The sequence below is a fragment of the Homo sapiens genome, chromosome 14 (genome assembly GCF_000001405.40).
Source record: "Homo sapiens chromosome 14, GRCh38.p14 Primary Assembly".
Lineage (NCBI taxonomy): Eukaryota > Metazoa > Chordata > Mammalia > Primates > Hominidae > Homo > Homo sapiens.
In genome coordinates this window covers 51,957,121-51,971,229 of record NC_000014.9, presented here as the reverse complement: position 1 = coordinate 51,971,229, position 14,109 = coordinate 51,957,121, and the positions used below count along the sequence as shown (strand labels likewise).

Sequence of the window (14,109 nt, the reverse complement as noted above, 5' to 3'; positions counted from 1 at the left end):
GCAGGAGAGGTCAAAGGACTTGCCCAAGGTCGCATGGGAGCGCTGGAGCCTAGTTCTGGTTCTCTAGTGCATGCTAATGCTCGAGCACAGTGTGGACTGAGCTCCCCAGGCCCCGTCTTTCTGTTGCTTCATTGTGGAGATGCAATACCCGGCTCCCGGCTTTTCTTATGACTTCCAGAGAGAAACAGCAGTAGTTCTTGCTGAGGAAAGGCCCAGGAGCCCATGGCCTTCTTCATTAAAATAAATTCTGCCTGAGTCTCCTGGTTCTAAATAGAAGAAAATGTAGATTTGGGGCAGAACCGAAGGGAAAGGGATTTCCCTTGGCAAATTATTTGCAATTTGTGGATTGGAGCTGACCCAGCTCCAATTCCCTCTGTCATTCTAAGTGCCATCTACAATGTGACCAGCTTATTAAAGAATGAGAACTGGAGGCAGTCCTCCCACAGGGGCTCAACAAAACAGGAGCAGAGTCACAGCCCAGCTGCGTCTTCCTCAGTGTAGCATGTCTAGTTGCTGGCTAGATTCTCACCCTTCAGTTACATGTTCATGCCTAGGCAGCCACTTCTGGGGGCTGTGGGAAGAAGAGCGAGAATATTTATGAGTTGTTTGTGCCTTTCCTTTGGCAGTATGAAAAGCTAGCTGTCATAAATACTGTAGTGGTCCTCAGACTATAGCATGTAACAGAATGCACGTTCTTGAGTCACTGCCAGGGATTCTGAGTTCGTGGGTAGCTCAGGATCCGCTTTGTAAAGAGGCATTCCAGGTATTAATACTCCTGGAGCAAGTGGTCCATGGACCACAGTCTGAGAAACACTGATGTCAGTGGAGCACTAGTGTGCAAACTCCAAGTGGCCCCCTTCATCCGTGGTTTAAAGATGCTGCTGTTGCTGGCACAAGTCCCAGGAGATCCAGTGTTTCCTTCTTTACTAACAGGGTCTGTTACTGGCATAATCTGAGGAACATTCAGAAGTCTTTCTCGACTAAGAAGATCTCCAAGGAGCAGCTGCATCTAGAGTTCTAAGGACTTAGCTTCTCCTGTACTCCTTTTAAATCACAGATAGCTACAGAGAACAGCACTTCTGTTGTTCAGTCTTTATTTTTCATAAGGGAAAAAGCCCACTGTGGCATACCTGCAGCAAGTGAAAGTGTAAATACAGCTCCTCTGTCTGCATACTCCACCCTATCAGAGCCCTGGGCTCTCCTCACAGCCCCCACCTTTCTCTGTCCCCAAAGGCTGTACCCAAGATGTACAGACCTAGTAAGAAATGCTTTTAGAGTGTCAAGTGAGTTTTTTCTTCTTTCGGACATCTCTATTAACAAAATCCTAAAGAAAATCAATGGATTCCTATTTCCTCATCCATTCATACCATCAGATCCTTCTCAAATTGACCACAGAATCAGTGGCCGTCACAATGAAATTGACTGCATATGAAATGAATCTGAAAATTCCATTTATTAAAACACATACATTGTCCATGTGGGATGAAAATGTGCACATCACATTCAGGTTTTCCTGCTTTAACATTTCTGTAGTTCTCTCTTTGAAACACACACTCCACAGATCTTATATAGGAAAAATGTGAACAACTTTTGGGCTGCAAAACATTAATGCATACATAACAATTCATCATTGCCAAGAGCAGCTAGAAGCAAATATTAAGGAAGAAAGACAAAGAAGTATAAAAATTCCTAAAGACAGCATGCTTTATTTTCTCAAAATTCCATATGTGACTATGAGCGTATGGAGAAATCGTTTGATTTTTAAATTTATTGTTTTGTCCTTGGTAGGCAATCTCCTTCAAATATTATTAGCAAAATCAAACATAGATCAAAGTATGTATTTGCATCTTCTGATTGAAATTAAACAGTACTTGGTTTCAAATGTTTTAAAAATAACACTTTTTAAACTGGAGTTGATATTGAGGATCATGTAAAATTATTCTTTATAGACTTTGCATTCTAAATATGAAGTTTATTGTTACTACTTATTAGTTAATTCCACGGCAGATTTTCATTTCTATCGAATATATTATATGTAGAAACTAGGGCCTTAAATAATTAAGCTGACTTTTCCTATTAGTTATTCCTTAAGATAAAATTATGCTGGTGAAAATGACTGTTGAATTTCTCAAGAAATTAAGCTCTATAGAGGCATAAGTAATCGAAAGACTTTTTCCCCTGAATAAGTACAAATACCAAGAAGCCAAAACTCATATAAAGATTTTCGTATTATAATTCCATACTGTAAGACATAAAATTATGAAAAAGCCAAAACATTTTCCTTAAAATGCTCCCTAGAAATTGTAATTCCATCTTAATTGCTCCAAAGATCTAGATTTACATGGAAATATAAAGAGTCCTTCTGAGAAAAGGAAATGCTGTGAATAGTGGAAATCGTCTGGGCCTTCTAATGATGCCTCAGTCACCACCAAAGAGTGTTTTATTCATTCATCCGTGTTTTCATGTGACCACATACTCAATTCATGTTTTGGCCCATGTAAAAACTGTGATATGTTTTAGCTTATTCCATAGTGTTACTAAGCTAATTGTACAATGCTGTAGTTTAATAAATACTCTGCTGTTTTTTTCACCCCTAAATCTTCATGGGCGTCCTAACTGTAACAAAAACCCCACAATTTGAACAGAAGAACAGAAGTATCTGGTTACAGAAGTGCATTCATACATTTCACAAATGTTTCAGTATCCTCTTCTCCCCGACCCCAGCATGAGCTTTAATTGGATGTATTTATTCTTTCACCAGCATGCCCATGAAGGAGCTAAGGAAAACATTTACCAAGTCTGTTTCAAAATCTGTCCTTGGCATATCAAACTTTTTCTCTTCCTTTTTCATGCTTTTTTTTTAAAAAAAAAACAGGAGAAAGCGAATAGAGAGGAAAGAGACAATAAAATTAATTGGGAGATGGAGATGATATTTGGGGATTTGAAAGCAAACAAGATGTAAGAGAGGCCCTCTTTGACTGAAAATGACACAGAAAAAGGTGATCAAGTCTTCCAGGGCCTGCTGTTACTGATGGAGACTACAGCTACAATGAAAAATTACTCTCACTACCATATCTTGGGGAAGGAGCGCTCTAGTTGCAAGGAATTTGTAAATAAAGGCCGAGAGACTCTAACAAACAAGATGGAGAACAAAAACAAAGATTCCATTAAAAAATTTGTTAAGTGAAAAACCAAGACCATCTCAGTGGACAAAAGAGCCAGAACTCTTCCTCGTAGAGCCGGCCGTGGGGACCGCACCTGCCGCCCAAAGAGTGGCGATTTGAGGTCCTTCTCCCTGGAGAGTGAATAGCTGGAGTTCTGAGAATGGTCACCTTCTCTGGAGCTGTGGGTTTATTTCTTCTGATACTTGAACAAAGGAGGGCCATGGTTTTCTTGTTAAGAGCACAAAAAAATGTTCTTTTAATCTAGAATGTCCATGATTCAGGGAAAGAGGGAATTTGCTCATACTCATGGCAAAAGCATTTCCCAGCTCATGGTGAATCCTTAACTCTCCTGCTTGGTGACAGCTGTGCTGCCCTGGGTCCTGGATAAACCAAAATGCTTTGGATTCTGGAAAACGTATTGAAGAGGCATTTATACCACTATTAACTAGGAGGTATTTTAGGTGTGGCTAAGGCTCTGAAGTAATCTCAATTTTCAAAATACTGAGATTTTCTTCCCTCTCCGGGGTCTTTTCCCTCTCATTTCCTTTCCCAGCTTTAGAGTAAAACAACAAAACTTCTGAATGGATGTAACATAGGGACATTTTCATGCAATATTACTCAAAAATTGTCACAAATATATGAAAGCACCAGTCACAACACAGGATTTACTTTTACTTGCAGAATCAAAGCTATCATGTACACATGTTAGGAATAGTGAAAAGAGAACACAGACAACCGGCATTTTTTGTCGTTGTTACCATGAGGATACACCACGGGGAACATCTCCCTAAACATTTTGTGTGATCATTCTTGGAGTTCAATCTGATAGACCAGTCCAGCCTTATCTCCACACTACTCTAATGGGGAGGGGTGGAAGGAGGGGTAGAGGAGAAGGAAGAAAGAAAAAGAAAGGCACAGTGACTATACATCAATGCCATTAAACCGAATTGCATCTACACGGGACAGCTCAGCTTATCAAAGGGTATTCTAAAGACAATATTCATTCCAAGAAGGTCACACATATCTTACCTCAGTACAGCTGTCTGTTTTAATTGTTATTTTTCAAAATATGAAGCAGAAACATGAGGATTTTGGGGGGGGGGCTGGGGGATAGCAGAAAAGAAGTGACACCAATTTTATTTTTATATATTCCCCTCCTCCAGGCAGTTCGTCAGAATCAGATCTCTTAAGTCAGGATGTGGATCGGCTTGCATTCTCATAAAGGGGACCAGATCTTTAAACATGCATAGCCTAGAGTTTCCAGAATGGTTCTCCTCGCTCTCTTCAAATGCCGTGGACTAGAAAGGTGCCCACTTCACTAAAAACTCTACATCAATGTCCCAGGAGCCCGGAGGCTCTTCAGGCCCCTCTCAAAGACTTAAAGGATGGCACAGAAAAACTTCTTCTCCCTAAACGGGTTTTCTGAAGCCGGAACAGGGGTCAGGAGGGGGTCTTCCTTGGCATGTGCTTCACAGTAGGCCATCAAATCTGCAGCTGCCTTGGACACCTGGAAAGGGAGACAAAAACAACCAACACTGGAGTCTGGTACAGTCAGTCAAGGCCCAAGGCTTTAGAGCCCAATGTCCTGGCATCAAATCCTTGCTCCATGAAGCAAGATACTCAGCCTCTAAAAGCTTCTGCTTCCTCATCTGCAAAGAAGAAAGTTGACGACACTGACCTTACAGGATTGTTGCCAGCAAGTCTGGGACTAGGTTAAGGTGAGTGAGGCACTTAGGGTGCAGAACCGAAGGAGGCACTCGCTGGCAGGGGCATGCAGGTGTCAACCCTGCACTTCCATAGCCCCGCAGGTGGCTGTCTCCTTCATTTGTTTTTTTTTTTTTTTTTTTTTTTTTTTTGAGATGCAGTCTCGCTCTGTTGCCCAGGCTGGAGTGCAGTGGCTTGATCTTGGCTCACTGCAACCTCTGCCTCCTGGGTTCAAGCAATTATCTTGCCTCAGCCACCCTAGTAGCTGGGACTACAGGTGTGTGCCATGGTGCCTGGCTAATTTTTTGTACTTTTGGTAGAGACAGGGTTTCACCACGTTGGCCAGGCTGGTCTTGAACTCCTGGACTCAAGTGATCCACCTGTCTCGGCTTCCGAAAGTGCTGGGATTACAGACGTGAGCCACTGTGCCCGGCCCTCCTTCACTTTTGTGCTCCGATATCTCATTGCCCCACCCTGGTCCCAGCCCTGGTAACAAGGGTTAAATGAAAAAATCCCTGTAAATCATTTAGTGTCTGGCACATAGCAAGCTTTCCACACAGGCTAGCCATTATTATCATTTTGTAGTCGTGACTCTCTGCTTCAGGAATTGTGCTAGGGATGCCTAAAACCATGTCAATTTCCCTTTTTAAGCAGATGCAGCAGGAGATATATCTATGTATACACACACTATATAGAACATATTTTTATACTTCATATATATTAAAATTTATACCTGTGACTTTAACCAAGCATTGTGCCCTTTAGTGATATTTCACTGGGAGGTCGTCACTGATTCTGGCGATGCTGTCATTTCTTACAACATATTTGTAGCTGCTTGTTATGAGTTCCCTGTAGTACCTTCCTTCAACCATCTTCACCAGAGGAAATTTTTACTACATTAGAGCGTGGATTTAGTTTCAGGAAATAAACTAAAAGTCATCTATAGCTACATCTGGGGACTAGGTAAATGATCAACCTGGGGAATGCCATTTGGGGTCAAATTTTTACATAAAATAACACATTTCCACATGAAAGCAACACCACTGTACTACTACGAACGCCTGTCAAGTAACTACTGAAAGGATATCAAAGCAACTACTGAAAGGATAATCTAATTTAAGATTTGGGTGAATTATATTATTACTAAAGATAGTCACTGCCCCTTCCTACAAGTGGGACATACATGCCCACATGATGACATCAGACTTGCCCAGTGACATAAGCTTGCTCTGGCCAGAGAGATGTGAGCAGAATTTATGTGGATCAATTATGGGCAGAAACTTTAGGAGCCAATGCACAGTTTGCCATGTCCCTTCCTCTATACCACTTCGTCCGACTGAAATAATTTATGAGGAACCCTCTTAATTGATGCAGAGGTTTTAACAAATGGCATAGTGGCAATATCCTTGATTTGTTTCTTGTCCCAGGGCTGAGTTGATTAAAGCTTTGTCACTCCTGCCTCAGCCTCCTGAGTAGCTGGGACTACAGGTGCATGCCACCATGCCTAGCTGGTTTTTCAAAAATGTTCTTGCTATTTTGCCCATGCTGGTCTTGAACGCCTGACCTCAAGCCATCCTCCCGCCTCACCTTCCGGAGTCCTGGGATTACAGGTGTAAGTCACTGTGCCTGGCCTTTTTTACTTAAGGCTACTTCAACTTTATGATTTACTGGTTGGGTAGAGAAATCAGTTTCCTCTTCTCATCCCATAAACCGTTGAATTTTTGGGGTCTCTGTTCCCTTTGCCACAGAACAGATAGAAGCAACATTCTGGACAGAGGCTGCTCCATCTGCCAGCATCCCTGATGAAGGTGACATGGTGTGGAGTGGCAGCTGATTTATGATTGACATATGGTAGGAGTGAGAAGTGTGACTGTGCTATTGCAAACCCCTAAGAATGAAGGGTAGGGCACCTTCTGTTACTACCACAACATCTAGCCAACCCTAATTGACACAAAGAGGTACAGGTATTGGTTTGTGTATTTGTTTCCTCTGGCTGTCTTGAACAAGTCCTCACAAACTGGGTAACTTAAAACAACAGAAATTTATTCTGTTAGAGACTAGCAGTTTGAAATCAAGGCATCAGCTTGGTTGGTCCCTTCTGGAGGGTCTGAGCGAGAATCTGTTCCATGCTTCTCTCCTAGTGCCTGGTGGTTGCTGGCAATCTTTGGTATCCCTTGGCTTATAGACATATCACTCCAATCTCTGTCTCTATTTTCACATGGAATTCTCTCCTGAGTGTCTGTGTCTTTATGTGGCATTCTCCTCTCTGTGTGACCAAATTTCCCATCTCACCAGTTAGAGTTACCCTAATCCAGTATGATTCCTCTTAATTTGATTACATCTACAAATACCCTATTTCCAAGTAAGGCCACATTCTAAGATTCCAGGTGGGCATAAATTTTAGGGGACACTAGTCAACCCAATACATGATATGTATGTAAAAATCAGTCTCACTTTTTAATAGACATTACAGTACTTACAAAAATATTTTTATTTTATCCTTATTTTGTTCCAGACATTGAGTTAAATTTCCTCTTTTGATCTTCACAGTAATCCTGAGGTAAGAATTATTATCCTCTTTTTATAGATGAAAAATTGAGGCTCAGCAGATTATATAAGTTGTTCAATATCATAGAGCAAAGCACACAGCAGAAAAAGAACTTGAACTCGAATGTGTTGCCATTAAGCCACAGCCATCTGCATATAAACTACTCAAATGTGGGCTTTGTTCCAAAGGTTGAAATTGAAATTCTTTATGAAATGCTTCTATGACAAAATGAAAGGAAACAGCCTGTTTATGTCTTAGCTCTCCCACATGAAAACAAAGGACAGACTTTCAGACTGAATTGAGATCACTTTTTTTCTTCATTCTTTCTTCTTGTTTGAGCGATAGTCATTGTTACACCAAACAGGAGCTTAGCTGTTAGGCAGTGGAGACAGTAAATCAGTGATATCTAAAACTCATTTGTTACGAGGAGAAGCAGCACCGTTCATCCCTACCCGTTTGCAACACTCACATACAACTATGTAGCATGAATATTCAAAATCTTTTTATGATACAGGAAGTACTATACTAGGAAAATTTAATAACTTAGAGCTGCTCATATCTTTATATTTGAACATTTGATTCTGAATGGTTTCCTTCTTAAAATATATTATGTGTTTTATCTTGTTTCCTCAACAAGACTGCAATCTCCTGTGGGCAATGCTCCAACAGTGTCAGAATCCCAGCAGTAATTAGAATAATTGCTAATATTTATCAGCCCTTGCTATGTGTCAGAACTGTGCTAACCACTTTACATACGGTATCTTATTTAATCCTTACAACAACATTATGGGTCACAAGCTATTATCATTCTCATCTTAAATATGTGAAGTGGAGGCTTCATTAAGTGTTTGCCCCAGGTCCCACAGCTCCTGAGCTACTGAGTTGTGAGTCTCAATGTCCCTGACTTAATCTTCATGAACATTCCTCCTTTCTAACCTGTGGCTGTCTTCCTTGTCCTGTGCCTTATAATGAGTCACAGCAATCGTGTGCCTAGCAGATCTTTCTGCTTTCTGACAATCCCTGCTAACATTTTGCACACAGCTTCTTCTACATTCGTATGCCTACTTCTTCCATGAAGATTTCCCCAATAACTCCAGAAAATCTCTCCCTTTTCTGTCCTGTTGATTCTTCCTCCAAAGATATCTCAAATTTGGCTCCCTTCCTGTTATATCTATTGCAGCTACCCCAGTTCATACTGCAGTCTTCTCTCTTTGTGATTACTAAAATAACTTTGTAAATAAAGGCAATTAATTTGGATTACCCCAGGGTTCCACAGATCGAATTCGGGGGGTGGTATGTGAACTTCAAATAATACAAAAAATTTACATCTTTATTTTTCACTAACCTCAAATGGAAATTTAACATTTCCTCTCATTATAAATATAGACAACACACTGCAGTAGCCCTAGCAGTACATGTGACTTGGCCACTGATAGATACCAGATACTTTCAATCACATTATATTCATTGCAGACACCTCAACACTGCATTTCTGTTCATCCACCTTATGATTGTAGACCTATTAGATCTTACATAATCAGTTAACAAAGGAGTACCTATGTATAACTACATCACATATATTTTTAAAAATTGATATTTTAAATAATATTATTTAAAATGTTTTACAAAAATATTCTAATGACCCTCATGTCAATATAATTAGTTTCTTTTGTAATTTAAAAACATGATTCTAAGAAGGAGACCATAGGCTTGAGCAGACAGACAAATGAGTCAAGAGCACAAAAATGTTTAATTATCTCAGTTTTAAATGATTTCCTGTGTTCATAACTATGCAGGAGTAGTATTCTCCATACTGTAGCTAGAAAGATATTTTTAAAATACAAGTGGATTCCTATCATTCTCCTATTTAAAACCTTCAATAACTTCTCATTGTAATTTGTAGAAAACCAAAACTTTGTAAAACAGCCTGTGGGTATTGCATGTTTTGGGCCTCCCCCTCTCTCCAATTTCATGTTGTAGCATTCTTCCCTCTCAAATATCTCCTTTACTTTTTGAAAGCTCCAAGTTCTTTTTTGCCTCAGAGTGTCACATATTCAGTATCCTAGAATATTGTTCTCTTCATCTCCTCAATGGGTTGGCTTATCATCTTCCTTCAGAAGTCAGCAGAAATACCACCTCCTTGCAGAACCTTCACTGATCGCCTCATCCACAGTGACTTTCCTGATTATTTTCTCTCAGAGTACTTTCTCACATTCTTCTCTTTCACAGAAATTATAAATTGCTTTCACAGTTTATAATTACGGACATCGTTTGTTTATTTGCCATTTAATATTTGCCTTTCCCTTTAGGCTCTGGGCTCCACGAAGGCAGGAACCACACCTGTGTTATTTACTACCGTATAATCAGTGCCTGACACATATTCAACACTCATAGTAATTGCTGAAGGAGTTCTCAAACATAATCTTCTTCGACAGATATTTCATGCAACGAATATTTACTGAGCATCAAATATGCCAGGTGTAGTCTGGATACTTGCAATAATCAGGGAACAAAATATACAAAGATGCTTGTCCCTGTAGAGTTTATACAGCATTCTATACTTCCAATTTTGGCTATGATGGAGTAATAAGGGCCAACTAAACTCTCCTGCCTTAAATTAAAAACTGGGCAGAATATATGAAGAAATAATTTTTAACTTTTAGACAATAGGCAGCACAGAGGAGTGATCCCTGAGAGAAGGGAGATAAGATAAATTCTACAGTTGCCCCAGCTTACTGCCTGCCACTGCACAGGGAGGGAGTACCCAGACAGAGTTCAGCAATCTCCCTGAGTTGAGGAGAGAATAGCAGAGAAGAAAGAATTACACTAGGGGAGAGAAAGCTCTTAAGGCCTCTGGAGGATTCATCTTGAGCCTTTGGCTGAATACTGATTGGCACATGCATAGGAGAAAACCACTTGAGGCTATGCAAAGAATATCAGGAAGGAGCAAGTAAAACAATCCTGGAGATCACATAGGGCCAGAGTAGAAAGGCTTCCCAGCACACAAGACATTGAGTAGAGTCCTAACAAGGTTATTACTTCATTAGTGATGCCACATAGCCCCAGGTTAAATGTTGTGGACCCACCTATCAAAGTTGAAAAGTTGAAAAGTAAGTCTTGAATAGATCAAAATGTTTCCAAGTAACTTAACTGTTAACTATTGTTAAATACTTTAACAAAAGTAACAATTGTTATTTTTAAACAATTGTTATTTTAACAATTGTTAATATCGTCCACATGATCAAGAAGGTAGAATAAATCAACACAAGATAAAAAGACATACAGAAGATATAAAAAGGCACAAATCAAATATGTAGACATGAAAAAATACAATGAGATGAAAAATACAATGAATAGAATTAGCAGATTTATAGACACGAATATTGTTAAAATAACAATTGTTAATATTGTCCACATGATCAAGAAGGTAGAATAAATCAACACATGATAAAAAGACATATGGAAGATATAAAAAGGCACAAATCAAATATGTAGAGATGAAAAAATACAATGAGGTGAAAAATACAATGAATAAAATTAGCAGATTAGCCACTGTAGAAGAAAGATTAGTGAACTTGAAGATAGCAATAGAAACTATCCAAAATGAAGTGCAGAGAGAAAATAGACTGAAAAAAAAAATGAACAAAACACACTGAGATAGGAGACAACTTCAAATGACTTAATACACATATAATTGGAGTCCCTAAAGAAGCAGAGAGATATGGGGAGTGAAAGATAAAGAAAAAATATTTGAAGATATAATGGCTGAAAAATTTCCAAATTTAATGAAAACTGCAAATCCACAGGTTCAAGTAACTCAAGAAACCCCAAATGAAGAAACATAAATCAAACGACACCAAGGCACAGCATAATCAAATTGCTTATATGGTATTTGAGTGGGAGAATGGTGAGAATAGGCAATGAAACATAGTGGTTATATAGAGAATGTTGGAAGGTAGTAAGTTCATAAGAAAATAAAAAAGTAGATCAGGGTAAAGGGGATTGAGAGAGTGTGTTGGTGATGGTAGGGAGGGGTCTGGGGAACAGGTTGCAATAGTTCAGCTTAATTAAGAAAATAATCTTTTGGTAGAAACTTACAAAATGAAAGTTACAATAAAATAAATGGTGACCCATTGACTTACATTCTAACGAAGCACTCAGAATGCTGTGTTGTGAACAGTACTCTATGGGAGTCAAGGGTAGAAGCAGAGACTACCCTGGAGGCTACTGCTTTATCAAAGTGAAGGGCAACAGGGATTCAGAATAGAGTAATAGCAGTGGAGGTGGGACAAAGTAGTCTAATTCTGGATAAATAGCATTTGAATGTAGAATCACCAGGATTTTCTAATGGATTAGATGCACAGTATGAATAAAAAAGGAAAATTAAGGATAACTCTAAGTTTTTGGACCAAGCAAATGAAAAACGAACTTGCTGTCAGTTGAGCTGGGTAGGGCTATGGCAACAGACTTTTGGGGGTGAAGATCAAGAATGCAGTTTTAGACAGATTGAAATTGAAATGTCTATTAGTGAGATGTATGATGCTGGAGTTTGAGATAAATAATCGGGCTAGAGCTATAAATTTGGTAATCAAGGTCCTAGAGATGGTACACTAAGCCTTGGGAACTAACAAGATCACCAAGAAAGTAGAGCTGAGTAATGAATGAACCCTAGGACCCTTGAATGTAATAAGTTGGAGAGCCTAAGACAAACTAGAGGAGAATTAAAAGGAGTAGCCTGTGAAAGTAGGCATTACTAAGAGGCAAATAAAGAAAGTGTTTCAAGGCACAATGAGTCATCAATCATGTCAAATGCTGCCAAGACATCAAATAAGATGAAAACTAGTAACTATTAAATTTAGCCGTCTGGAGTCATTGGTGATCTTGATGAGAGAAGCTTCAGTGGAATGGTGGGTGTGAAAGCCTCATTGGAATGGGTGTAAGAGTAAATGGGCCTTCTGCTCCTTCTTCTTCCTGGACAATTCAATCTTAAAATGATTAGGTAGGACCAAGCAAGTTAGGATTTTATATTAGCTCAGGGACTCATGATGGGATATCAGAGCTGAAGTAGGATAAGGAGAACATCTACGCAGGGTCCAACCTGGTAAGGAGTATAGGAACCTGAATGAATGTGCAAGGCATCCATGTGGGGAGAGGAGGCCATGGAGTGGAAGCTTGGTTCCCTACAAGACAGTGACCAAACAAGGATAAGGGGAGCCAGGTGTCTCACTGCAGGTGAAGGGAGTTACAAATACGGAAAGTAGAAAACTGGAATGAACCCTGCAGTGTAGGGTAGGAATTGGTGGTGTCAGTGAGAACTTATGGTTACATATACACATACATACAGATATAGAAAGAAATATAAATGGGGGGGGGGAACGGAAGAGAGAGAGACAGACTGATTGTATGACTGTATTATCTAGCTCTATCCACTGAGAGGTCCTGGGGGGCAGCAACACTTCAGCAGTGAGCACATTTGGCATCTAGATCTTGGTTTCTAAATACCATTCTCAAAGGAACCAGGAACCAGTGCTCTTTGGAAAAAAGGATGATTCCAGGACTGGGGCAGGGAAAACAAGGGGAGCTTAGAACATCTTTCTGTGCCAAAAACTGAGAAAGAGCTCAAAGAATGAGGGCAGCATGCCAAAAGGACGCAATAACCACTTTCAGTCTGTGCCAACGGAAACATCAAAATACATGATGATAGTAGCAGACTGTACACCACTGAATAAAAGAGGAAATTCCTTCCCAAATTCCAAATACTTTTTAACTTCAAAAAGAAAACAAATAGGTTTGTGTGGAGAAATCTGGAAAACACATTAGTCAGGTAGTGAAACTTAACATTACCAGTCAGTAACAATTTGAGATAATGTCCCACCAATAGAATACAATGAAATGAATACTCCATTAGTTCTATGATATTAATGCCAAAGTTTTGTTACCTGAATTTAATTATAATTATCTGAAAAACCCAAACTGAGTGACATTCTAAAAAATAAATGGCCTATAATCTCCAAAAGTGTCAAGGTCATGAAGGTCACGGAAGTCTAAAGAACTGTGCCAGACAGGACAACTCAATGCAATAAATGATTCTGAACTTGGTCCTCTCGCTAAAAGGGACATTACTGGGATGATTTGCATACTTAAATGGGATCTCAGGGTTAGAAGGTAGTAATGGGTCAGTGTTAATTTCCTGATTCTGATGATTGTATTATGAGTATGTAGAAGAATGTCCTTACTTGTAGAAAACACACATTACAGTATTCAGAGGTGACAGGACATCTTTTGACAACTTATTCTCAACTGGCTCAGGAGAAAACAAAATTGTTTGCACCACACATGCAACTCTTCTGTAACTTTGAGATTATTTCCAGAATAAAAATGACTTTGCAAAAGAAAAGGAAAAGAGAAATTAGAGATGGTGGATATAGATACTTTTTTCAAAGTCATACTGCAAAAAATGTAAACAATTGAGGCCGTTGCTAGAAGGGGAAGTGGAGGGATTGAGAAAAAAATCAAATTTTATTTAAGATGGAGAAATAACACCATGTTTGTATGATAATGGAAATGATGTAGAGAATCAAAAACTGATGATGCAGGATAGACAGAAGGTGGAAGAATAAACTGCTGGAGGAGGTTTCTTGGTTAGAGAGGTGGGATCTACTGCACAAGTGAAGGACTTCACTTTTGATCACA

General features: G+C 39.4%; 1 protein-coding gene across 15 annotated transcripts in view; it reads right to left on the bottom strand.

The window, feature by feature from the left end:
• Positions 1-1,434: 1,434 nt before the first annotated feature.
• GNG2 (G protein subunit gamma 2) overlaps positions 1,435-14,109 on the bottom strand; it is a 143,622-nt gene continuing 130,947 nt past the window's right edge. For all 15 annotated transcript variants that reach the window (NM_001389707.1, XM_047431486.1, XM_017021377.2 and 12 more), the window contains one exon: positions 1,435-4,671. In NM_001389707.1, the coding sequence (NP_001376636.1) occupies positions 4,543-4,671 (129 nt within the window). In that variant the 3' untranslated portion in view covers positions 1,435-4,542. The remainder of the gene's footprint in view (positions 4,672-14,109) is intronic.